The sequence below is a fragment of the Homo sapiens genome, chromosome 13 (assembly GCF_000001405.40).
Source record: "Homo sapiens chromosome 13, GRCh38.p14 Primary Assembly".
NCBI classification, from domain to species: domain Eukaryota; kingdom Metazoa; phylum Chordata; class Mammalia; order Primates; family Hominidae; genus Homo; species Homo sapiens.
The window spans coordinates 105,465,140-105,491,040 of NC_000013.11; the positions used below are offsets into that span (position 1 = coordinate 105,465,140).

A 25,901-nucleotide genomic window follows, 5' to 3' on the forward strand; every position below is an offset into this window, starting at 1 on the left:
TGGCTTTCTCCCTTGTCTACCTCCCTCAGTGGAGAGTCCACCTGCTGGTAGTGCACTCCTTAGGTGCCTGTCTCTGGCTGTCCTGTGCCACCTGCACAGAGTCATGCATGAGCTCCACTGTGGGAAGTCTCTAGAGATGAGCTGAGCTTACCCTACACCAACTGAAAGAGTCTATCTAAGTCCTGAAGATCACAAGTCATCCTCATATTCCCATGAATGTGAATGGAAGTTGGGCCTGCTCAGAGAATCATCAGGGCTCTTTATTGTGGCCTGGAGCCAACTGCCAAGGAGTGCCTAGGAACACACTCAGTAAGAGTGTTGCCCTCAGGCCAGATCAGACTTGAACCTGCAGAGAAATCCCCTAGGTATGTCAGCAATTGCTCATTTGGATGCTATAAACTTGAAGTTGTGAAAAATATAAAGACTTACATTATCCAGTCTCTCCTGGCAAAATATGTAGGTTTAATCATTCCTGAATTTTCCTTAGTTCACACAGATATACAAATATATATCCTAAAAATTGGCATTGGTAGGCGTGTCAAGTTATCATTTTAAAAACATAGAAACCTGAACAAGATGTATCACTCCAGTCTAGAATGTCTATATGCAGAGTATCCACAAAAAACCAAACTTCAACAGTCTTTCATGTCTATATTTCTTCAACATTCTTTGTCTTCAACATTCTTTCATGTCTAGAATGTCTATATGCAGAGTATCCACAAAAGACCCAAACTTCTTTCATTTAAAGAACCAAACTTCTTTAAATAAAAATGACTCACAATAATTTAATATTTTACCATTTACAAAGAGATTAACTACAACAATATTGATCTTGAGTTAATTTCCCACGAATAACATTTTCATTTCTTAAAATTTGCTGAATGGAAAGCCAGAAAGTAGAGTGAAGCAAGTAATGTGTGTGTGAGTAGTCATTGGATACATACATAACAGTGAGCAAGTTTATCAGCTCCTGCATGGCAGTGTTCTGATGATCTTTTGCTGCAAAAGAGCTACACCCCAAATTAGTGGCTTAAAGTAAAAGCTTACTAGTGTATATGATGATTCTGTTGGTCCAGGATTTGGAAAGGGCATGGCAGGAGGTCTCATCTCTGCTTCACAATGCCGATGATTTAGCTGGGAGGACCCAAAATGCTGGAAAAGCTGATGGGTGCTGATTCTCTCCAGCTTTTCAGGTAGGTAGCTTGGGGTTTTTTACAGCATGGCGGCCTCAGTGCAATGTGACATTTGCATGGCAGCACAGAGCTCCCAGGGTGAATGTTCCTGGAGACAGGAAGTGGAACATGTCAGGGTTGGAAGCCTGAGCCCAGTATATGGTTCAGCCTTACTTTCTCCCATATTCTGTCAGTCAAAGGAGAACCTAGCCAAGGATCACTCATGTTAATGAGGAGGAGACATAGGCCCTCACCTATCCCTGGGAGGAGGATCAAAGAGTTTGAATCTTTAATCCACAGCAGGCAGACAGCTTTCCATTGTTATAAACCACCTCCCCCTCACTCCATCTGCCTGTGCTAATTGTTTGCTCACAGGAATTTGTTTAGCACTGTGTAGAACTGGGATAACTTTGTGCTTATTTTGCAGTTAAAAGGGAGAGGCGCTAGTTTGGAGATTTTTAAAAAGCAAAGGTTTGAGAGCCAGTAAGACCTGGAGTGAACTCTCCTGTCAGCTATTTACCAACTGTATGACTGAGCAATTTATAAAAAAAAAATGCAAACCTCAATATCTTCATCTATAAAAATAAAAAAATAAGACGTATTTGGCTGAATAGTTAAGATTAAAAATATGAAAGTGCTAAACCATACATGTTATATGCTCCATTGATGTTGCTTATTCTTTCTCTCTTCTGCAGGGTATAAAGGAATCTGAACACGACTGATATTTTCTTTAATTTTTAGATCCAGATATACATTGGGTAAAATCTACTTCATAGGTTTTCAAAGGAGCATTCTTCTGAGCAAATCTGAAAACTCTCTAAACTCTATTGGTATGTTACTCTTTATCTTTATATGAATTTAAATTCTTCTAGAAGTTAGATAAAACTGTGGTAAAGCTACATAATACTTTTGACATATTTTCAAGCGTAGACAAACTTCAATTAATTTGTAAGATACAGGAAGAAAATTTTTCCAGTTAAAATGTACCTCTTGGTTTCTGGAGTGTTAGCAACCATTCACACTTACAGTTCAAACAGTGCAACCTTGTAAAACATATATAACTTATGAAGAGATCGATATCTCTTTTTATAAAGCAAACAAGTAAATTTTTCCCTCAATCCATGATTTATTTTTGTGAAGTGGGAATTTAAGGCAGTAGTTCTGCTTTCAAGTGAAAACCTGGATCAACTTTTAAATATCTATAGGCGCAAACCCAAGCTAGGTCTCACACAGTGCCTCACTTAATAATCTGTCAACGTTTAATTCTTTTTCTTTTTTTTTTTTTTTTCTGGAGACAGGGTCTCACTATGTTGCCCAGGCTGGAGTGCAGCAGCGCCTCGGCCTCCCCAAGTGCTAGGATTACAGGTGTCAGCCACAACACCCAGCCCATTAATGTTTAATCCCCTAGAAGGTGATCCTTTTTTTTTTTTTTTTTTCAAAGAGACAAATTGCAGCTCCTTCTCTGGGCTTTTCTACACTATAGCAGATAACTTAAAATCTGACATGCCAAGATATAGCCTTGTCTTAGTTTTCTATCACTGCTATAACAAATAAGCACAAATTTAGTGGTGAAAAAAACAAGCACATTCATTATTTCATAGTTCTCATCAGGCTGACAGACATCTTACCTGGCTAAAAGCAAGGAATGGGCAGGGCTGCATGCCTTCTGGAGGCTCCAGGGCTGAGTCCATTCTCTTGCCTGCCCCAGCTTCTGGAGGCCTCCTGCATGCCTTGGCTCGTGGCCTGCCCTCTGTCTTTAGAGTCAGCAATGTTGCTTCTCTGACCACTCTTCTTCCAGCATCCCCCTCTCTAAGCACAGCAGGGAGACCTTCACTGATTATAAAGATGCCTGTGACTACCTTGGACCCACCAGGATAACCGAGGTCACTCTCCACCTCCCGGTCGTTAACATTAATTACATCTATGAAGTCCCTTTGTTACACAAGATTCCACAGGTTTTCAGGATTAAGAACTGGACATTTTTGGGGGGTGGAGCAAAGAAGTTTCTGCCTACCACAGCCCTTGATAGCATAATTAAAACATTGATTTTCATAAGGTTTTCCTAAACTGAATTTTATTTTGCCTCAAAGGTGCAGATGGTCAGTCTTTGAGTGCCAAGTTTAGATGCTCATCTTACTTTTAATTTCTGACCAAGATTGATGATTACTTGAATATGTTGGCTACCCAAGTAATTTTATTTACTTTTATTAAAGAGGATAATTATATTTCAATTAATAGATTCTCTTTAACAACAATTAAAAAATTACAAATGTTAGCTGAGAGTGACAGATATGAAATGAATTTAAAAAGTCTAATCAATGCCTGGTGGAATAATTTGAGAAGCAAAATAATTAGAAACAATTTTCATTGAAAGGCATGCAGTATGTTAATTTCTTCCACTTAGCCTTCAACAAAGCTAAGAATGTTGGAAGGAAAACAAGCTTATTGTCTTCTAATGATGGCCATGCCTTGGAACACTATTCCCTTCAGAGATTTGTCTCTGGTTTGTGGAATCACAGTAAAATATTATGAAAATAATTGTGGGTAAACAGGGAGAAGCCAGACATGAAAAGAAGCGAGATCTTGGAGCATATATCTATTTGCGTGCTAGTCTTGTTAGCTGTAAATAGACATGAACATGAAATGTGGGAATAGCAGAATAATTTTTCCAAGTGCATATTTTTTATCAAATCAATCTTTACTTTAAAAATTAGTGTAAAATTAAGAAGACAGCAGACATCAGTATGTTTCAGCATGTATATAAGCAGAAGTAGACAAGGCATCTACATTTTCTACAGGTAGGAGAGAGTTATCATCTCATTAGATAGTTAAGTACCATACCATAGGGTTCAATAATATTCATACTAGGCAGAACACTAAATTCAAAGTAGCTGGAGGGCAGAATTTTCCTTATGTTCTCTTATCACCATCCACACTGTCTTAACCACCTAGGTGTGTACCGTTAGTTCCTGGCTGCATTTTCTCCTCTTCAACTTGCAAATTTTTCCTGTATTAAAACTAATTCTGCTCTGTCATATTTTATTTGGGCTTTATTTTCTAATAATGACAATGAGTGTAAAAGAAATTCACATTATCCAATCCTATTTTATTTCTTTCAGGTATTCACCAAATCCACAAAAATGTAAGGCCCAAAAATAATGTACCAGTGGTGAAAATTTTAAACATTTCTGACACATAGATGAAGGGGATATATATTTTATGAAGTAATGAGCTTATTATAGGGGACTGAGTTTGATACTTTCTCTGCCTTCACATCGTTGTGAGAGTTTACAGATTTTACAAACTCAAGGTTATAAACTACTTTCCAATTATCGTTTCCCTACTCTGAAATAATTAAAGTAAATTCAAATGGTCTTTTTGGTAGCATTCCTTCTTTCTGTCATAGCACTAATAAAAGCCCTAAATTTGTCAAGAAAAAGAAAATGGTATCAAGCTGAATTTTGTGATGTGTGGGGAACCAACTGAAGGATATTTTTCTAGCAATTGTCTAATTTACTTTCATCATATTTCCAAACTTTCCAAAGCAATATTTAATATTCTGACAGTTGTGTTTTCTCAGTCTCTATTGAATGCAAAGAGAATCACTCTATGTCTTTTTTTATTCCATATTGAGGGCTATTTTTAGTTTTTTATTTCTTGGATGATTTCTTATTGGCTTTTACAATAAATTCCAGCTAATGGATTTTTACTTGGTTAATCTTCCTAACCAAAATTTGATCTACTTTTTTTTTGTCCCCAGGCTGGACATGTTTCTTTACTGGATTAATCATCTTGCTCATTGGAATTTTTTTTTTTTTTTGCAAGAAGAGACTAGAGTTATATTCTTGTTATATATCTAACCAGAATAAACTATCAAGATTAAAAATAACTGCTTAAGGAATAACAAACATAATTTCTAATATATAGCAGCTATCTTTGTTATGTATTAAGCACACTGTCCTCATATAAAATGCTATTCTTTTCCAGTTTTGGGGAAACTGGAATTTCTCTGTGTAGCCATGCTGGCAACTTGTCTCACTTTCCTTTTTCTTTTTTACCCCCATGGCTAATAATTTTAAAATGCCCTGATACCATGCCTTTTTTATCATTCTCATTTTTAAGCCAACTAACAAAATGCCAAACAACACACTCATTAACATTATCTACTATTTATTACATATTTATAAATTATAGAAGCTAGACGGTAAAAGCACAATTATTTTAGAAATTCTACATACATAAAATAAAGCAGCTCACCCATGTACACCCAACCAAAATATTCTATTTTTATTTATTTGTTTATTTTAAATTATTTTGAGACAGAGTCTTGCTCCGTTGCCCAGGCTGGAGTGCAGTGGTGCCATCTGGGCTCACTGCAACCTCTGCGTCCTGGGTTCAAGCAATTCTCCTGCCTCAGCCTCCCAAGCAGCTGAGACTACAGGCACACACCACCACAACTAGCTAATTTGTTTTCTTTTCTTTTTTCTTTTTTCTTTTTTGATGGAGTCACGCTCTGTGGCCCAGGCTCGAGTGCAGTGACACGATCTCAGCTCACTGCAAGCTCCGCCTCCCGGGTTCATGCCATTCTCCTGCCTCAACCTCCCGAGTAGCTGGGACTACAGGCGCCCACCACCAAGCCTGGCTAATTTTTTGTTTTTAGTACAGATGGGGTTTCATCGTGTTAGCCATGATGGTCTTGATCTCCTGACCTTGTGATCCGCCCGCCTCGGCCTCCCAAAATGCTGGGATTACAGGCATGAGCCACCGTGCCCGGCCAATTTTTTTGTATTCTTAGTAGAGACAGGGTTTCACCATGTTGGCCAGGCTGGTCTCCAACTCCTGACCTCAGGTGATCCGCCCCCCTTGGCCTCCCAAAGTGCTGGGATTATAGAAGATGTGAGCCACCACACCTGGCCATTCAATTTTTAAAATACAGTTTGATAATTGAGTTAAAGCCACTATACAGAGAATAATATTGGTCAAACCGAATGTGTGGCAAATGCACTTTATATTGATCAAGGTGAAGGATATGAGTCGAATAAATGGTATAAAATTTGGACTAAGAACCAGTTCCAGGACAAATAACATATTAGCACAGATTTGATATGAAGTTTACCTAGATGATACCAAGAGGGCTTCTAGGAAATGTTCATCCTTTCATATAAAAAATAAATTGATGGGCTCAGAATTTCAAATAAGTGTTTGCTACTTACTTGAAAATAAGAAAGGGAGTGCTATTTGTCTAGAAAGTAGGTTATGTTAACATGATAAGGCATTTAAAGACATGGTAAGCTCATACAGATGTATCATGAACATGAATCAAAGATTTTACTTGATTAATAAGAGAAACAATAAGATGTTACAACCAATTCAAAGGCAAATTTAAAATCATCTACAGGTAAAACTGGTCGATTCACAGAGCAATAATCCTTAGCATTTTCACTGGACACTCCTTTGCATTTTTCTGGAAGAAAGTCAATTGCATTTATATCATATTTTTAAAATTTTACAAAGTTGCAAAATAGCTCAAAGATGATGAAAGGCAGAGAAATCTTGGAAGACTCTGCTAGTCAGGTGATTTAGTAATCTTTACAGCTCATTTCACAGTCTTTCACAACTTTTTCCCACATTCACTATCACACTCCATTCTCTTTCCACGCCAAAGTAAGAGGAATTATTTAACCCTATCTAAGAACTCATAAAATACTAATACAACTTAAGATCCCCTCAAAAAACTACCTTGTGGTCAACACCGGAGGAAAGGCCCCTTGACAGGGAAAAGGAATCTTCCCAACAGTCACACAGGGAAGGGACGAGAGGACTATTTCATCGTGAGGTTTGGAGCTTTGGAAAGGCTATGCACATGTTATTTAAGTATGGTATAGGCAATCCATTTCATGAGGAACAAAGAATTAGGCACCACAGTTAATTTTTTCGTGCCATTTTGATATTTTTGTTTTACTGTAACTAAATGACTCAAAGTATAGTCCGATCCAGAGAGAGAAGCCACCCTTCGTTTGGGCTTAATCTCAAAACACAGATGTATATTTCAATCAACAGATGACATTTGAGTCTCTGAGGGAATTTTGTCTTAACCAAAAACCTCTGAAAAATTAAGTAAAATGGACAATTCCTACAATCGCTCCACAGTCATTAAACCAACATGTATGTTAAAAGATGTGATAGAGTTAATATGTATTATATATCCACTTAAATACTGTTGCAGCAAAGGAGACAGAAGAAGGAAGAGAGACGGTAACAAGGAAAGAAGGATGGAAGAGAAGGCATGAGGACGGCTATTTGGAAATGGCACAGAGGCATTTACAGAGATCATTATGTCCTTGGGTCTCTTACCTTCCTCAGCCCTATGCAGAGTATGTATCTTCTTCATTTTAAACTTTTAACCAGGAGAAAGCTAAATGCTAATGTTGGAACTTACGAAAGCAACTTCTCTGGGCTTTTTAATATTAGATTATACTTCATGTTGAACTTTTATCTAGCTCAGAGATTATTTGTCTATTACATAGGAACCATTTTAACACTTTTTTAAAAGTATCCACTGGCTTCTTCACATTTTTTCATGCAGTAGTTTTTCTTGAATTTTGTTTTTTATAAAAATTACTAGGAAAGTTTGTTAAATTTTCAGATTTCCAGGCCTCATATCATCAGTAAATCTGGATCACCCTCAAAATACCCATCTTTGTCAAGCATCTTGGGTGATAATGTTGTGTCTCTCTTTAGAACCTCAAGGCTATTGAGAGGGAAATATGTGAAAAATAAGCCTGCCCATACACAACAATAACATGGGAAAGGAACAATGTAAATTTCACACTGCCTACGTGAGAGTGTGTGTGTGTGTGTGTGTGTTTGTGTGTGTAGGTGTTTTAAATATAAAACACTTAAAACTGTTTCCCAGATTATTTTCCACTGTTTGACCCCCTAGTACTGAAGCTCTACCAAGCTACAATATCTGATGCTATCTATCTTTTTTTGCCTCTTATGATAATTATTTAATTATGTGTTCACATAATTAAATGGGACTTTTTCCCCTAAATAATGCTTTTATTTTCATGTTAGGCTTAACGAGAATAAGCAACATTGCATTTTTTTTACCTTTTTAGAATAGTATAAACATTAAGTTAAAATCAGTTGCAAAATATTATTTTTTAAAATTGTTCTGAAAATAATGTTTAACCAAATAATTTAATGTTGACTTTCATGTTTTATCTGAGGCTATTTAAATTTGTCATTTACCATATTCCTAAAGCCCTTTAGTTTGCCACGCAAAAAAAGTATAGCCAAGCAGCTAGAAAATGGAAAAGTCACTCACTGAAATTATATTTATAGACATAGCAACAGGACTATTGCAGAGTAATTCCACAGTGATTTTTAGTCCTACTGATGAGCTATAATCTGTCTATAAAGTAGTAGAGGCTATAGTTTATCGGTGTGAAGCAAAGTTAAATTTAGACGTGTTCTATAAGAGGTTATTTCTACTCATTTTCAATCTAGAGTTCCAATCAGAGCTGCCTAATCTTTTTGTACTACAGGAAAGCTACTTAAATAAGCTCTACCATCTCTAAAAGGAAGCTAAATTATTCAACTTCCTTATCAAACTTTCCTTTGGAACAAGGAATTAGGCAAGAACATATTGTAGGTATGATTGTGTGAAGTTTCATGCTAGAAGCTTACCTGGCCAGAGAGTTAGACTGTACCATTCTATAACAGGTGTTCTAATTTAAACTATGTATATATTTTATTTATCCGTGTTGAATATTTCTATGACATCCTATTTACTAGGTTATAAAATTTTCCATGATAACTTTTATTATTATAAGTAATGAAATTATTTATTTATACTGAATGAATCTTTGATATGTTGAGAATAATGCCAATGGGACTATGAGGTTTCCCAAGTCCTTCAATAAATATCTAAACCATATAATTGCAGGCATCACATAGGAAGACAGAAATTGTTTCGATTTGCTAAACATCTTTCAAAAGATTTTACTCAAAACACTGCTTATTACTAGAAAGTGTGAGTGTGTGCATGCGCGTGTGTGTGTGCGTGTGTATTTTAAGAACATGATCATTTGTAATACATAGATATTGTCTTACTAATGGCACTATTCTGCTTCTTCAAAATTATCTCAAGGCAAAGGGCAAGAGATTAATCAATAAATGACAATGTTCTATCAACTTGCATTTTAAAATAAAGTCAGATAATGCTACAAATTCGTAATCAATTATTTCACGGTGAAATTAATCAGTTTAAGGGTTTGGGGATTGACTGACTAAAGCCAGCAAATGTGCATCTAAAACAAAATCTGACATGCATAAATTTACAATTATATGAAACAAATCGGCTGCAAGAAAATACTCCAGAATGGAAAAAGTTAAGATTGCAATTACTCTTTTCAAGTTGGAATTGGGAATTGGGGAAGAGAGGAAGTTGGAGAAAAGCCAGAGTCAAAATTTTGGTGAGAAATAAAGAATAGTTGAAGGAGTGTTTTCACAAGTGTCCTTAAGGCTTTGAAAATGTCATTCCTCTTCTGGAAATCTCATGACTTTTAAAAAGTAAAAGACAAACTTGATGATAAATCTGAAATTAAGCAGAAGATTGTATTTCCCGTTCTGAACGAACATTCACCTCATTTTTTTCTAGACATTCCAAGGTGATTCTAAATGGCAATTTGCACTGTCATTTTAAAAGAATTTCTCAGATATTTGCTGGGCACTTTATGGAAGGAGACACTGAGGTAAAGATGTTAAGCTGCATACCCCTAGTGAGATAAGAAAGCAGAAGTGAAGTCAGCCTTAGAAACCAGATCTCCAGACTCCTGGGCCTTCATTCTTAAACCACACTCTCATTTAATATATCCACTGTGGCTTTTACCATGACAAAAAACGTAATTGGATCCATGAATGCAGAGCCTTGGAGGGCACTATCAGCATTACACATTATCTTTCATCTTGAAATCTCACAAAGCTTTATTAAACTGTTCAAAAAGGAAGTGTTATTGTTCCCAGATACCTCTCTCTTCCCAAAAGATAGCTCAAGTGGATTTATCAGGTGGCTAAATGGGAGTACTAAAGAGGTTAAATTTAATTCAGGAAAGGATCTTTCCCTTAGGAACACAGAAGCTTTTGCAGTGTTGGTGCTAAAATGGTTCTCTTGTCAGAGGAGTTACGTTTTATGAGATCCTCTAAGCAAATTTAGAAAAGGAGAGGAACTTGACCACAGAAACTGTGTTTGATACATTTGAGCAACAAAGTAAGTTTTCATTCCATGGCATGCTGTAATGTGGGAAGGTAAAAATATCTCAGATTGATAAATTCCGCTAAATTAATCAAAGGCTGTATTTATGAAGGCAAAATAAAGAAACAATTAGAAATAATCTGGGTGATTTAGGGTGAAGAATATTACATTATGAATCTTTAAGGCAATTTGAAATCCAATCATTTTTATTTAAAAAGTTTAATATGGAAATACTCTCAATTATATTTAAGACAAAGTAAGATGTTGGTAGTGTCTTTATTGGAATATCTATTTACAGAACTTAGCAGGAAAAATGTCTGTGTAATGGCTTCAATTATTCACATTTATTTTGTGTGTTTTGCATAAAGAAAAACTAAGAACTGCACACTAAATTTTTATGAATGCACACACATATATATATACCCACATTTTTAAATGGGTTATGATAGGGGAGAGGACTATTAAAATAACTCTAAACAATATTTATTGGAGGGTCTCATTCTCATATTAGTTTATTAAAATTTTATGTAAATAATTCTCCACATTAATATATATATTTTTTCAGACTCTTTCAGAGACATTTTAACTCACGATGTGGGAAAACCAATGAGAGAAGAAAAAAGAAATTCTCATCTGAAACTTGAACTTATCAAAACTCACTTGTCTAGAAATTAGCCTGGGAACATCCAGGCACTGGAATTTCTCACTTTTTTTCCTTCTCCCTCTCAACTTCAGTACTGAAAGGAGAAAGTCATTTCCAAATGTCTATGTTTTGACTTTTTAAATAGACCAAATTTAGAGTCATGTAAAGATACAATAATTAGCTTTCTTAACAATTTTCACCCAGAGGTATTTTTATAGAGAATAAAAACAACAACAAAAAAGCCTTTTCGTTATAAAACGTTCACTTGTACCAAAAAACATGAATCTGTAAAAAAAAAAAAAAAAATTACATATGAGGTACTACAAAAAGGGAGGTCCACAGGCCTAATTCTCCCTCTCGGTGATTTATGATGTGGGTGTAAAAAATGAGGTGGGTATTTTAAAAAATAATAAAAAGAATCCTTCCTTTACCTCATTCTAAATCTGATGAATGGCTATAAATAGGGCATGAAATTTGGGGCCAGCCACAGTTCCAATTATTCCTAATTTCCTTATACCCAAGGCATATGATTGAGTTAGAGTACCTGGTGAGTACTCTAACTCAAAACGTTTGAGTCTCAGCACGATTCCAGTCCCTGCCTCAGTTTCTCCAGGCTCCCATTGATTGGTGTCAAGCACAGTTCCTTCACCCCCTACAGAGCCCCTGTATTCCCAACCCACCAGCCACCAGGGGCTCCTGTCAGCACCCATGAGCGTTTTCATAGCCCTCTGCAGCTTACAGTTATCTCTGTAAATTGTTCTGAGGAATCCTCAGCAACTTTCTGATGAAATTTGTTAGTAGCCACAAGCTAGTGGAAGAACAACGTCACTCTTCTCTTACTTTCTCCTGTCTGCCTCCTGTAGTTCTCCCTCTAACCTGGTGGCTTACATCTTTCAATCAGGCTCATTTTGTATAAAGCAGGCCTTTATGTCAGAAGCTGAGACCTCCAACAGATGGAAATGAAAACCATCCTGCTACCAGACCTTGGATCTGGAAGGTCAGTCTTGGTGCTTGTTTTTCCCAAAGTCACTGAGGCGCTTCAAGGCTGTGACACCTTACCTGCAGTGCAGTCTATCAGATAGAGTTTCTACTCTCCCTAAATTATACTTCCTCCGGTGCAGATTAATTAGTGATTTACTTCTGGGTTACATACCTAAAACATATTGGTTATAAAAATAATCCTACACAAATGCCAGTCACATAAAAATAAACTGAATGTAAAAATTAGAAACTAACCAGGCATAGTGGCTCATGCTTGTAATCCCATACTTTGGAAGGCCAAAGTAGGGGAACTGCTTGAGCCCAGGAGTTCAAGACCAACCAGGGAAACCTAGATGCCATCTCTACAAAGAATTTAAAAATTAGCCAGATATGTTGGTGCATGCCTGTAGTCCCAGCTTCTTGGGAAGCTGAGGAGGGAGGATCCCTTGAACCCAGAAAGGAGAGTATTCAGTGAGCCGAGATCACAGCACTGCAGTCCAGCCTGGGTGACAGAGCCAAACAACCTATAAACTAAAACATTTAAAAAATTTACATATGACAGAAAAACATGATTTGTGAGATAGATATTTATCGGGTATCTACCAGAGCAATTTAATTCCTAAAAATAGGCACATAGTTTTTAAAATAATAGAATATCATGAGAGTCATTTCCAAAAGGCATGATTCTATGTCTTGAACATTAATTATTTCACTTGTAAAATTTCATTAAAAATTTATTTAACTTGTTATGTTTAAGACTTTGCCTCAAACCAAAATAGAATCTATCATTTAAAATATTTTTCAAAAGATCTCTACTGTGCAGTATTATTTAACACTCTGTAATGATAGTTAATACTATGAAATATATTTGGTTTCTTGGTCATTTGTGACCATCCAGTTAGGCAATTATTTTAAGCCAAAGCAGCCTATAAGAAATTTTAAGCTGAGTTTTCTTAGAACAACATCTAACAATACAGCTGCACTTCAATGAAAAATGATTGTTTTTTACACAAATGTACCTTATACAGATGTACTTTTCTAAAAAACCTTTTCTTCAGATTCACCAGGAAGATTATGGTGTGTTTCTTTAATTAGAGGATTTCTGCAATTGTGTGGTTTACTGGTCTGTACAGAAGCTTCCCTTAGTACGCATTCAATAGTCAATTGGTATCGAGGAGTGCTGAAACCTGTACTAATTTTCCAACTGAACAGAGCAGATGCATACTCACCCATTTGTACTTTTACAAACTAGGACAATAGCAGCTTTTCTTAGGGGCTTATATAAAATTCCAAAGAGAAAGGGCACTGTGTTCTTTTCTGTTCAAGAATAGACTTGATTACACATTTTGGGGCATAGGGTTTAAAGGAATATAGGAAAAGGGAGTCTCCAGTTGCCTACATTTAGACTAGAACCTTCTCTGCACCTTCCATGGAAGGGTAGTGTGAAAGATATTTTAAACCAATTGATTTATCTTGCTTTATTTCTGAGCATCTTGACTCCAACTGTATTGCAATTAAAAATAATTTTATTTTAATGGCGGAGACTCTGATTTGTCCCATGCCCCTTCTTCTAAATTCCAAGAGTCTATGTTCCCTGACAGTAGGACTTTGTTTTGCTATTTCATTATGCCAAACACCAATACCCATGCCTGGCAAATAGCAGATGCCTGCCTACTTGGCTGAAAAAATGGGTGATCTTCAATTTTTAGCCAAACTAACCCACTCTTGTCTACTCATTTGTGTTGCTTTTTGTCTCACAGATTGATTATCTCATCAATTCATTTATTTGTTGATTCATCCATTCATTCAACAACTATTCACTGGGCACTAACATATACTTAGGTTTTGTTCAGAGTTCTCAGAATTCAGTGGTGCACAGGACCATTTATCTTTATCTCTTTATCTTCGCTATAAATTTCTCCTCACCTTTTAGAACACAGCCCCCATCTTTCCATTTGAGGTTGCTTCCCAAAACAAGTACATAGCTTTGTTTCTGTTCGTATTGTTTCTTGGTTTTTTCAAGGGATTTTTGCCAATCACAATAAAAGCAAATAGGAGAGACCGAAAGAGCAACAAACATTACAGAAGTGTAAGAATGCTAGAAGGTCCTATCATTATTGTCTGTGATCTATATTTCCTGACACCTTTATTGAAATTCTCTAGGGCTTTGTATTAGCTTTTTAGGGCTGACATAATACACTATTGCAAACTGAGTGGCTTAAAACAGTTTTAGGCAATTTATTGTCTCATAGTTCTGGAGGGTAGAAGTCTGAAATTAACACACAGGCTGGTTCCCACTGGACAGAGAATCTGTGCCAGGCTTCTCTCCGACTTCCTGATGGTGGCCGGCAATGCGCCACCTTCCTTGGCTGACAGGCACATCAGTCAATCTCTACCTCTGTCTTCACATGGTCACCATTCCCTGTGGCTCTGCTCCTCTTCCTAGAAAGACACCAGCAATATTGGATGTAGAGCCCACTCTACTCTAGTATTACCTCATCTTAACTAAGTACATCCACAATGACCCTATTTCCAAATAAGGGCACATTCTGGGGTTCTGGAAATGACATAAATTTTGAGGGGACACCATTTAAACCAGTAGAGACTACTTTCGTGAATTTTAAGAAACTCATAGAAAGAGTTCACATAGACTCTTGGAATTTAGAAGAAGGGGCATAGGACAAATCAGAGTCTCTGCCATTTAAAAAAATTATTTTTCATTGCAATACAGTTGGAGTCAAGATGCTCAGAAACAAAGCAAGATAAATCAATTGGAAGACATTTTCTCTGATGTCTTCTTTAGCAGAAGCCTTTATAAACTCCTTTATCTAAAAGTACCCCTGAAAATAAAATAGGTCAGAATAATAGGTCATTTTTCAATGACAAAATATTTAATAACACATAGTATTTATCATTTTAGTACATAACAATATTCAGCCAGTCACATCTTATAAATTGAAATAGTAAGATTAAAATTCCCTGTCATTAAAATTTCATTTCTTTTTCTTCTAAGTAAAAACTGATGATTTTAGTCTTTTGGAGGCTGTCATTTTCTAAATCAGTATTTGAATAATGGTAGATTGTGGTAGTGAAATGAGCTGTGTGAACTAGCAGATACAATATTTTACCTTTTCTGGCTTGTGTATTACATGGAATTTTACATGTGTTTTTGGTTCCTAAGAGTCATTAAGGAAGGAGAGGAATGTCAATGGTAGACATTTGCCACTTGGTTTTGGTTTGCTGGCATCTGTATTAGGGTTCTCCAGACAGATAGAACCAATAGGATAGATATAGATAATAGATACATAGATGGATGGATGGATGGATAGATACATAGATAGATAGATAGATAGATAGATAGATAGATAGATAGATAGCATTTGTTAGGAGAATTGGCTCGTGATTATAGAGACTGAAAAGCCTCCAGACAAGCCATCTGCAAGCTGGAGATCCTGGCATGGAGTAGTGTGGCCCTGGAAGCCAATGGTGTAACTCTCAGACCAAGATCTAAGGAGTAAGAACTCGGCTATGGGAAGTGGGGTGCTAGTGTAATACCTAGAGTCCAAAAAGTGGAGTTCTGTTGTCCAAGAGCAGGGAATGAAGAGTAAGTTCCAGCCCTAAGAAGGAGAGAAACACATATTCCTTCCTCTATCTTATTCCATCTGGGCCATCAGCTGATGAGACGGCACCTGCCCACGGTAAGGAGGGATCTTCCTCACTCAGTCCACTGACGCAGATGCCAAAGTCTTCTGGAAACATCCTCGCAGAAACACCAAAAATGATGCTTTACCAGTTCTCTGGGTATTTCCATAATCCAGTCCATTTGACATCTAAAATTATCACAGCATCTAAACCAGCCTCCTCTTTGAGCAAGTTCTCCACATGTTAATCTAGTAATGTGGATTTCCATTTCCAACAATACTTTTCTTCTTAGTATTGAACTCCTTGGAAACATATTAATTGGGCCATTGTGTTTTTTCATTTTGCTTTATAATAGCAATAGTCCTGGGCACAATTTATTCAAAACCCAGTGTCAGGACCTGTGAAAATAGTTGAACTAAAGTATTTCATTTATTACTCCCAAGAAGTCTATGGTGAACATGCCATTATCATCCCACTTTAAAGAAGATTTGGGGTCTTAACTTGGTTCTGTCATTGTTCACAGTACCACAGGTGAATGGAGGAGCTAGGATTTGAATTCAAACCCCTATAACTCCAGGGACTCTGGTCTAAACTAAAACACATACTGTCTGCCCCACTCTCTGAAGTGGCTATTTCATATATGTTTTTATTCATTAAAACTATGATCCTCCTGTCCAAACCCTTAAATCTTGGCAGACATCCTTGCTGCCAAGATCAAAGAGAAAATAAAAGCCATAAAAAACAGACTCCCTTAATATCCCACCCTTAGGATCCAGCATTCAAACCCATCTGCTCTTATCTCTCCAATGAGGAAAACTCATTCCTCTATCAAACCTCTGGATCTCATCCTTTTCTGTGGTAGTGGAAACAAACTATTGATTCAAATTTTCTCTCTCCCTTGTATCCTTCTCATCAGTATTTAAATATGTTCTAGGCTCTGATATCTTAATAACAAGAATACTTTACCCTTCAGCTAACAATCTCTCTCTCTCTACTCTCCTCTCTTCCCTTAGAAGACAAACATTTAATGTTTTTTATACTTGCTGTATTAGTCTGTTCTCACACTGCTAATAAAGACATACCTGAGACAAAGGAAAGAGGTTTAATTGACTCACATTTCCACATGGCTGAGAAGGCCTTACAATTATGGCAGAAGATGAAGGAAGAGCAAAGGGACTTATATGGCAGCAGTCAAGAGAGAGAGCCTGTGTAGAAAAATTCCCCTTTATAAAACCATTAGATCTCATGAGACTTATTCACTATCACAAGAACAGCACAGGAAAGACCTGCCCCCATGATTCAGTTACCTCCCAGGGTCCCTCCCATGATACGTGGGATTGTGGAAACTACAATTCAAGATGAGATATGGGTAGGGACACAGCCAAACCATATTACTTGCTACCTCTATTTCATCATTTCTCAGTCAACCTACTTTCTTTTGTCTCATGCCTTATTTAACTAAATTCCTTTTCATTAGTCCATAATGTTACTTCTGAAACGAATGGCCTTTTTTAACTCTCATTTTTTTTTTTAACTTCTAAGTAGCATGAGGAAGGACTGTGTGGTTCCTGCCCTTAGCTTCCGTGGGAGCTCTCATTTCTTATTCTCTATCACTCTGCTCTTTTTCTCAGTCTCTTTTGCCAGCTCCTCTGCTTTGACCTTGGTGTAAGTTTTTTTTTTTTTTTTTCTTTGAGATGGAGTCTCACTCTGTCACCCAAGCTGGAGTGCAGTGGTGCGATCACGGCTCACTGCAACCTCCGCCTCCCAGGTACAAGCAATTCTCCTGCCTCAGCCTCCTGGAACTGGAATTACAGGTGCCCACCACCACGTCTGGCTACTTTTTGTATTTTTAGTAGAGACAGGGTTTCACCATGTTGTTCAGGCTGGTGTCAAACTCCTAACCTCGTGATCTGCCTGCTTCTGCTCCTCAAAGTGCTGGGATTACAGGCATGAGCCACTGCTCCTGGCCAGTTTTTAAGAGTTCAAATGAAATTGTGAACTTGGAAATAGGAACTTTTTTTAAAATCAACTTTACAGAGGCATAACTGACACACTAAACTGTACATATTTAAAATGTATAATTGGATAAGTTTTTACATGTGAATATACCCTAAAAACATTACCACGGTAATGTTTACCACAAACCTATTATTCTCTGAGGTTTTCTTATGCTCCTTTTAATCTCTCCTCTTTTCTTTATCTACCCCTTTCCCTCTCCTTCCTCTCCCCAGTTCTCAAATAAGTAATTTTTTTCATTGTGTATTAGTTTGCATTTACTGGAGTAAGGTATAAACAGGATGGCACAGTGTTTGCTCTATTTTGTTTGGATTCTTTTACTCAGTATAATTATTTTTAGTCTCATCTTCGTTGAGTCGTATTCCACTGCATCACAGTTTCTTTATCCATCCATTCCTCTGTTGATGGGCATTAGAGTTGTTTCCAGGTTTCAGCTGCTGTAAGTAAAGATGTGATAATTTGTGTAGAAGTCTTATAATGAAGATATGCTTTTACTTCCATGGGTAAATACCTAGATCAATTGAATAGATCTAATAGTAGTTGGATAGATCACCCTTTATTTAAGGAATCTGCTTCATTATTGTTTTTCAAAGTAATTTAACCATTTTGCATTCCTACAGACAGGATATGAGTGTTCTAGTTTCTCCATATTCTCACCAACACTTGATATGGTCAGCATTTTTAGTTTTAGACTTTTAAAAAAGAGGGCAGTGCTATCTTGTTATGCTTTCATTTGCATTTTCCTAATGACTAATGATATTGAGCATCTTTTCATATGCATATTCTCTACCCATTTTTTTTCAGTGGTCTGCTAAAGCTTTTGCTCATTTTTATTTTTTTTCTCTTATTGAACATTGAGGTTTCTTTATACTTTCTGGATACAAATCTTATATTAGATATAACCTTTGTAAATCTTTTCTTGTGTACCATGGAGAATTGTCTTTTAATTTTCTTAATAATGATTTTTAAAGAGCAGAAGCTCTTTTTCATTTCTTTGTTATTTTTTGTTGTTGCGATTGTTTAATTTTTATGAAGTCCAGTTTATCACATTTATTCTTGCATGGATCATGTTTTGTTCTGTTGCATCTAATACATCTTTACTTAACGCTAATTGACACTGTTAGTCTCATATGTTTTCTTCCATGAGTTTTATAGTTAAAGATTTTACACCAACATCTATAATTCAACTTGAGTTAAATTTTAAATATGGATCAAAGATTAACCGTTTTGTAATGAATACCCAGATGTTCCAACGTCATTTGTTGAAAATATGATATTGCTATTCTCCCAACAAGTTTCCTTTGCCCCTTGGCCAAAATCAGTTGTCCATATATGTATAGGTCTATTTTTTTTTTACTTTCTATTTTATCCTATTGATTTGTCTATCTTAATGCTAATAACTGTCTTAAAAATATACTTATTCCCAGTTTTGTTCTTTTAGAAAAGTGTTACAGCTGTAACAATTCTTTTGCGTTTACATAGGAATTTTAAATTCAGCTTGTCAATTTCCACAATGTAGCTTGCTGGGATTACAGGGAAGCTATAGATGAATTTGGGGACAACTGACATCTTAAGAATATTATCTTCCAACCCATTAAAAATGTATCTTTCTGCATTTATTTAGGTAATCATTAATTTTTCCTTAGTGTTTTCTATTTTTAACTGTGTGAAACTTTCACAAATTTTGTCAGATTTATCTGGAAATATTTTATATTTTTTGCTATTATAAGTACAATTTTTTAAAATTCAATTACATATTGTTCTTTGCTCTTGTATCAAGTGATTTTAATGTTATATATTAAATTTGAATTTTGAAACCTCACTAAAATCATGCATTAGCTCTTATACCTTTTTGTATGTTTCATAGTTATTTATATAGTTTATGATATTGTCTACAGATAAAACCAGTTTATTTCCTCCTATACAATTTGGATGCCTTTTATTTATTGCTGCCTTACTACTATGAATTCAAATTTCAATATCAAATTAAATAGAAATATTGAAAGCAGACAATATTGTCTTTTACCTGAACTTAGGTAATCTCAGGCAATTGTTGGGATCAATGTATTTGCTTATTTTTCTGTCCTTGGCTGCCTGATGTTTTTTGTCTCTAAAACCATCGTTTCAAATGTCCTGTCTGTTTCTTGACGGTTTGTTTTTTCTTATGGCAGGGTTAGTCTGGTCCTTTTTGTTCATATTAGTCTGAAATAGTCCACATTGTTCTTTAAAATGTTTAATGTTGATGTCAAGGTTTCTTCTATTCTGACTAAACATTATCTGGTTGAGGAAAGTTATCTACTTGCATAGCTTTGATGATAATTTGAATAGAAATGACTCCCACACTTATCTCTCCAACTCAAATCTCTCATTTGAATTCCAAAGGCATTTTTAACCACCAAATCTACAGCTCCACATAAAAATTTCACAGACAGATCAAACTTGGCATGTCAAAAAAATGAACCCATGCTCAACCCACCACTTACTTGATCCGTTGGATTTTGTGTCTCAACAAATGGCATCATCATCTGGAAGAAACCTGGAAGTCAACCACGACTCTGCTTCCATCCCTAAACTCAGACTTAATCATGAAGTCCTGTTGAGTCTACCACCAAAAATATATTTTAAAACCTTTACATGGTTTCTTTCCACTAACCCTTATCTCACTTCCTTTCAATAATCCCCTGTTTGGGGTTAAACTATATCCCCAAGAAAGATATATTGCAGTCTTAATCTGCAATACCTATGAATATGACCTTATTTAGAAATAGGATATTTGCAGATGTAATCAGTTAAAATGAGGTCATTAGAGTGGCTCTATTCCATTATGACTGGGGTCCTTGTTGGAAGAGGAGAAGAGGTACAGAGGCAGACATACACGGAGAAGAGAAGGTGAAGACATACAGGAAGAACACCGTGATGATGGAGTGATATTCCAACAAGCAAGGAGCTCCATGGATTGCCAGCAACACTGGAAGCTAAGAGAAGGACATTGAACAGATTTTCCCCTAAAGTCTTTAGAGAGAGCATGTCCTGCTGAAACCTCCATCCCAAACTGGGAGAGAATAGATTTCTGTTATTTTAAGCTACTCCATTCACAGTTCTCTGTTGTAGCAGCCTAGGAAACAAACCCACTCCCATCCCCATCACCTTATTTTGACAAGAGCCACTTCAGCTCCTATGTGCCACCTGGTATCGTGCTTAGTCCCTTTATATGCTACTCCAGGCAGAAGTCAGAGTGATCTTGTAAAAAAGCAAATTGGAACATGTCATTGCCCTTCTTCAAACTTTTAGTGGCTCCTTATTATTTTAAGGATGCTGTCCAGGATCTAAAACATGATCTAAATGGACCTCAATAATCTGCTCTCCACCCTTTTCTTCATACGCGCTCACTCATTGGAGTGTTTTTTTCACTTCATCAAAGTATTCTAATCACCCTTGCTCTTTAGTTGTCCTACACCCTGCCCCTCTCCTTGGAATACTTTTTTCCCCAAACCCACCTGCTTCATTTGGTTAACATCTGTATATTCTTCAGATGCCACTGCCTCAGAGAAACCTCTCCAGAATATCTGATAACAAAATTGTGTGTCTGTTTCTGGGTGGCTCTCTCACCCCGTTGACCTATATAGTGTCATATGTGAACAACAGAGTGTGCTTATTTGCTTGATTTGTATCATGAATAAGACGTAGTACAAAATATTCTTTGGATGCAGCATTCATGAACGCTCTCAGTTTCCAGGTCTCAGTATCGACTATTTTCTTTCTTTCTTTCTTTTTTTTTCTTTTGAGACAGAGTTTCACTCTTGTTGCCCAGGCTGGAGTGCAATGGCGCAATCTCGGCTCACTGCAACCTCTGCCTCCCAGGTTCAAGCGATTCTCCTGCCCCAGCCTCCCGAGTAGCTGGGATTACAGGCATCCACAACCAAGCCTGGATAATTTTTGTATTTTTTACTAAAGATGAGGTTTCACCATGTTGGCCCAGCTGGTCTCAAACTCCTGACCTCCAGTGATCTGCCCACTTCGGCATCCCATAGTGCTGAGATTACAGGCATGAGCCACGGTACCTGGCCTCAGTATTGACTATTTTCGTACAGCTTCTATTTCTTCATTTTCTCCCCTCTCCATTACAGGTCTACATTTCCAAACAATTCCATGGGTAACCTTAGTCATCCAAATCCTAAAACCTTAGATTATTGGATTACAGTGGTCAGGAATTAGGGTAAGAGGAGAATGGAGGAAAAGGAGAGAGAACAGAGAACCCGTGAAAGCCAGCAGAGGGTAGAGAATAACACAATTTTGCCAGCTGGTTTTGAAAATACCCGGAGTCTCACATATATGCAATTATTTAGCAATTATTTTGCACACGAACCAAATCAGTCAAATGGACTGGCTTCTGCTCCCCATTGACTCCTCATGGTGCACTCCTCTCCTTCCCCAGGCTTTTGCTGTTGTTCTGTACTAAGTCCATGTTCTTTTTTAAAAAAGTGATCTAAATCATATAATAATATTCTGATGATGGAGCAGGAAATGATGTGATTTATCCTGTATCTTTATAAGAGCATCTGAGTTCTGTGCTCTGTAAGAAACAGGACTGGCAAACACTTTTAACATTCCCTGTCTTTGGAATTTACATTTTAGAAATCATTTCCTCTCCCTGATACCTTTTCCCTTTGTTCCTACAAAATATACCTAAATGTGTTAAGGCAGAAACTCTAAAACTATTACAGGAAAAAGAAAAAAAGAAAAAAAAAAAACGGTTTGCAAGAAAATAATCTAATGCTAGAGGGAATAGAGTAAATAATCATTATTTGAAGTGAAAACTAGAAAATTAATTAACCAATTTTGAAAATATACTACATACTATTTTAAAATAAAAGTTTTATACAAAATAGTGAATTCCAAATGCCTTCTTTTGTTTGGGCTAAACATAAAATATTTATAGAAAATTGATCATCAAAGTCCTGTTTCTATAATTGCCTGATATTTATTTCAACATTTCTGATACAGCAAATGGAGTGACCAATGTCAACAGGCAACATTTAAAAAGCCATTTCTTTGAGATTTTGAATACTTTTGCCACCCCTGGGGACATGCTTTGAATCTGGCAGGAACATTAGCTGATCATGCTACTTCAATGTGACAGCTTCAGATTTTTAACAGGGGAAAAAGGCAGAACTAATGGATGTGAATAAGCTTAAAAGCACGGGAACTTATCAATCACTGTAAACAGCTGTATTTTGGGAAGCTAACAGAGGTACTTCTAAAAATGTAAAAAGTCAATAGATATATTTCTGGCAACTAATAATTTCAATCTGGTCTTCTTCATTTGTCTGTCCTCCAACCCCCAACCTGCCTGCCTTCTGTGTTTTTTAAGTGTAATATTCTTGTCAGCATTGATTAACATGAAAACATTCTCCTCACATGCACCATTGTACTTTCCAGAAGGAAATAACACAGTATCTAATTTTATGAAAAGATAACTCAAAAGATGAATGAAGCAAATCAAATTATTAACGTGATTATAATCTTTTTCATCCCGTTCTGATTTTATAATAGAGGACATGTACACACAATGCTATTTGTAATTGGTACATTATTGGGTAATGACTGTAACTATTTATCTTTTTGTTCAACCTCAGGCACATAACATCTTACGTATATATTTCAAAGAGCTTAAAAACGCAATTATCTGTTTTGCTTTACAATTATTTCAAAATATTCCACTACTGTATTCCTCCACAGAGGCCTCTAACCCATTATTTTCCAGAACAAATTCGCTTTTGAAGAGATTACTAGTGTGACAATGATTCAAGAAGCACAATAAAACCCTGCTTACTCCACTGGAAAAGTGAAAAACATATTTAATTTTATTCTCTAGCCTTCTAAAGGATTAGGTTAGGATCAGGCCAAGTCATTAGACCTTAGAATCCTATGAAGAAAATGTCCTCAATATGGAGTCCCCAAGGATACAATCTTGTTTCAAATACTCTGATGGTAATCTCTCAAACTGAGAAGATACTTTTCAATCAACATGGCTTGACTGTTTGGGGTGGAACTTGAAAGCCATCAAGATTAATTTCTTCCTATGCACAAGGCACTACATTATTTACTAAGGATAATGGGACACACAACACAGTCATGCTCTGATGAATTAACGATTCACCAGGAGAGACAAACAGTGTGAACACACCTATTGCATTACAATGTGGTAGAGCCCGGATACTGTGGGTAGTACTTACAGGACGGTGTGATTAACTCTATTACTTAGTGTGTCCAGGAAATTTGTTGGTTGGAAGTAACATCTGAGCTGGCTTTTATAAATGCGTTATTTTCCTGATAGAGAGAGTAACATTTGCATGTAAGATGGATGTCAAGTTTAATATCAGGTTTAATAGCATGAGGTCTGAAGCCAGCTGCCTGAATTTGAATTCCTGCTCCAAAATTCTTTAGCTGTGTGACCCTGCAAAAGATACTTAACCCCAGTGTTTCAGTTTCCTCACCTGAAAAATTAGGTTTAATAATTAAATTTACTCATTTCAAAGCATTCTGTGTTCACATCAGGTTTGAATCAGGTCTGCTGGGCTTTTCTGTTAGATCATATTCCAGGAATTGTTTTGCAGAGAGAGTATATCTGTATTTTTAAATTATTTTTCCCCTCAAAGACAAGTCAAATGGCTTCTCCCAATAAGTAAAGTCATACAAACCCATTTTTTAAAACTTTCTCAGTAAGCTAGACTTGTTTAATGTAAGCCTTACAGGCATTGCAGATGAACGTCCTCAATTCTCAGGCAATTCCTACAATTCTTTATGCTTTTTCACAGTCTTTCTTTGAAATTATATCCAAATATGTAGTTGTGGCAGTTAGACCCTAAGTGACCCACATAATCTTGACTTCTTGGTGGTCACACATTTGTATAACCCCTTACCCTTGAATGTGGGCAGGAGCTGGGACTTCTAACCAATGGAACATGGGAAAGGTGATGACACTTGACTCCGGTGATGAGGTTACCTTTCACAAGACCTGGCCAACTGAGACCGGATCTCCTTACAGGCTTGAAGAAGTAAGCAGCCATGTTGGAAAAGTCTTCATGGCAAGAAACTATGAGTTCCTTGCCTATGAGGCCTCTAAGGACCGCAGGCAGCCTCTAGAACGAATGTGGACCTGCAACTACAACCAGCAAAAAGACCAGTCATGCAACCACAAGGAAATAACTTCTACCAAAGCTGAATGAGTTTGGAAGCAGATTCTTCCCAGCCAATCCTTCTGATGACAATGTAGTCTGGCCAACATCTTCACTGGACTCTGACGGACTCTGTGTCTGGGACCCAGCTGATAACACGTGGTAATATGTTTTATAAAATTATATTTTTATGAATATTTTTATGAAATATAATTTTTATGAATTATATTTTTATGAAGATTTGTTACACAATGATATAAACTAATACCATAGGTAATCAAAATCCTCTCCTCTTGTTTGGTAATATTTCATCACTAAATTATTATTGAAAGTTACACATACTGCTTTGTGAGCTGTCATAATCAGTAAAACAAACAACGGAAATTCAAAAGTCCTGTGAAGTTTTTTGAATAGTTAGTGAATTTATGTGGGAAAATATTCAAGTATATTAATTTATCCAAATAGTAATGATGTCTCCCTTTGCCATTGTTATGGATTTATGGATTTATGTATCTGATACATGTAACATTACATTTTCAATCAATACTATTGATGGACCCTTCCCTACTTTTATAATTTCTAACTATAGTTTTAGGGAGAATACTAATAATGGAAGCATTACTTTTATTTTTTCTATAAATTCCTCTGGAAATATGTATTTCTTATGTCCTAAGGTTATTAACAAAAAGAGAAAATAATTTCTGATTTATAATTCACTTTCCTTCAAAAAATAATAACTCAGTGTCTAGTAAGGTAAAGCAAAAAAAGTTAAAAGAACCCATAAGTTTATTTTAAAATACCTACTCAGAAGCAAAACTGACTTTCTATTAAAAATTAAAAAAAAAAGTTTTCTTATTATTGTTTTGTTTCCTTGTTTTTAGGTGATGGGATTGTATTTGCAACTCTCTGGTCAGTAAGTGATAAAATGCCATTTCTATGCACCCACCTGGCCTGTGTGACTGGGAGAATCTCTCTTTTTATTAAATGTGCTTCAAGTTTTAACAACTGAC

The 25,901-nt window shown here is 36.3% G+C and overlaps 1 protein-coding gene and 1 long non-coding RNA gene across 7 annotated transcripts in view; one reads left to right on the plus strand and one right to left on the minus strand.

The window, feature by feature from the left end:
- The window catches only part of DAOA-AS1 (DAOA antisense RNA 1), a 46,627-nt gene that overhangs the window by 6,085 nt on the left and 14,641 nt on the right, over positions 1-25,901 (minus strand). The window contains exons 4-5 of the long non-coding RNA NR_040247.1: positions 24,637-24,878; positions 1,048-1,281 (exon numbers count right to left, since the gene is read on the minus strand). This is a non-coding gene — a long non-coding RNA (DAOA antisense RNA 1). The remainder of the gene's footprint in view (positions 1-1,047; positions 1,282-24,636; positions 24,879-25,901) is intronic.
- Positions 728-25,895, plus strand: DAOA (D-amino acid oxidase activator). Of its 6 annotated transcripts, NM_001384645.1 has the most exons (7): positions 906-921; positions 1,077-1,193; positions 1,868-2,002; positions 7,399-7,546; positions 9,838-9,931; positions 24,762-25,053; positions 25,773-25,895. In NM_001384645.1, the coding sequence occupies exons 5-6, from the start codon at positions 9,858-9,860 to the stop codon at positions 24,940-24,942; spliced, it is 255 nt and encodes an 84-aa protein (NP_001371574.1). In that variant the 5' UTR covers positions 906-921; positions 1,077-1,193; positions 1,868-2,002; positions 7,399-7,546; positions 9,838-9,857; the 3' UTR covers positions 24,943-25,053; positions 25,773-25,895. The 6 variants fall into 6 exon arrangements, with proteins under 6 accessions (NP_001155286.1, NP_001371574.1, NP_001371573.1 ...); NM_001161814.1 differs by lacking the exon at positions 9,838-9,931 and having other exon boundaries at positions 728-921; NM_001384644.1 differs by having other exon boundaries at positions 906-1,193; positions 1,914-2,002.

Bases quoted from the DNA above. Each gene is read 5' to 3' on its own strand.
- DAOA (NM_172370.5), top strand. From the start codon at position 1,150: ATGCTGGAAAAGCTGATGGGTGCTGATTCTCTCCAGCTTTTCAG. The intron at 2,003-7,398 runs GTATGTTACTCT...ATACTGTTGCAG, and splicing joins AAACTCTCTAAACTCTATTG to CAAAGGAGACAGAAGAAGGA. The intron at 7,547-24,761 runs GTATGTATCTTC...ATCTCCTTACAG, and splicing joins CTTCCTCAGCCCTATGCAGA to GCTTGAAGAAGTAAGCAGCC.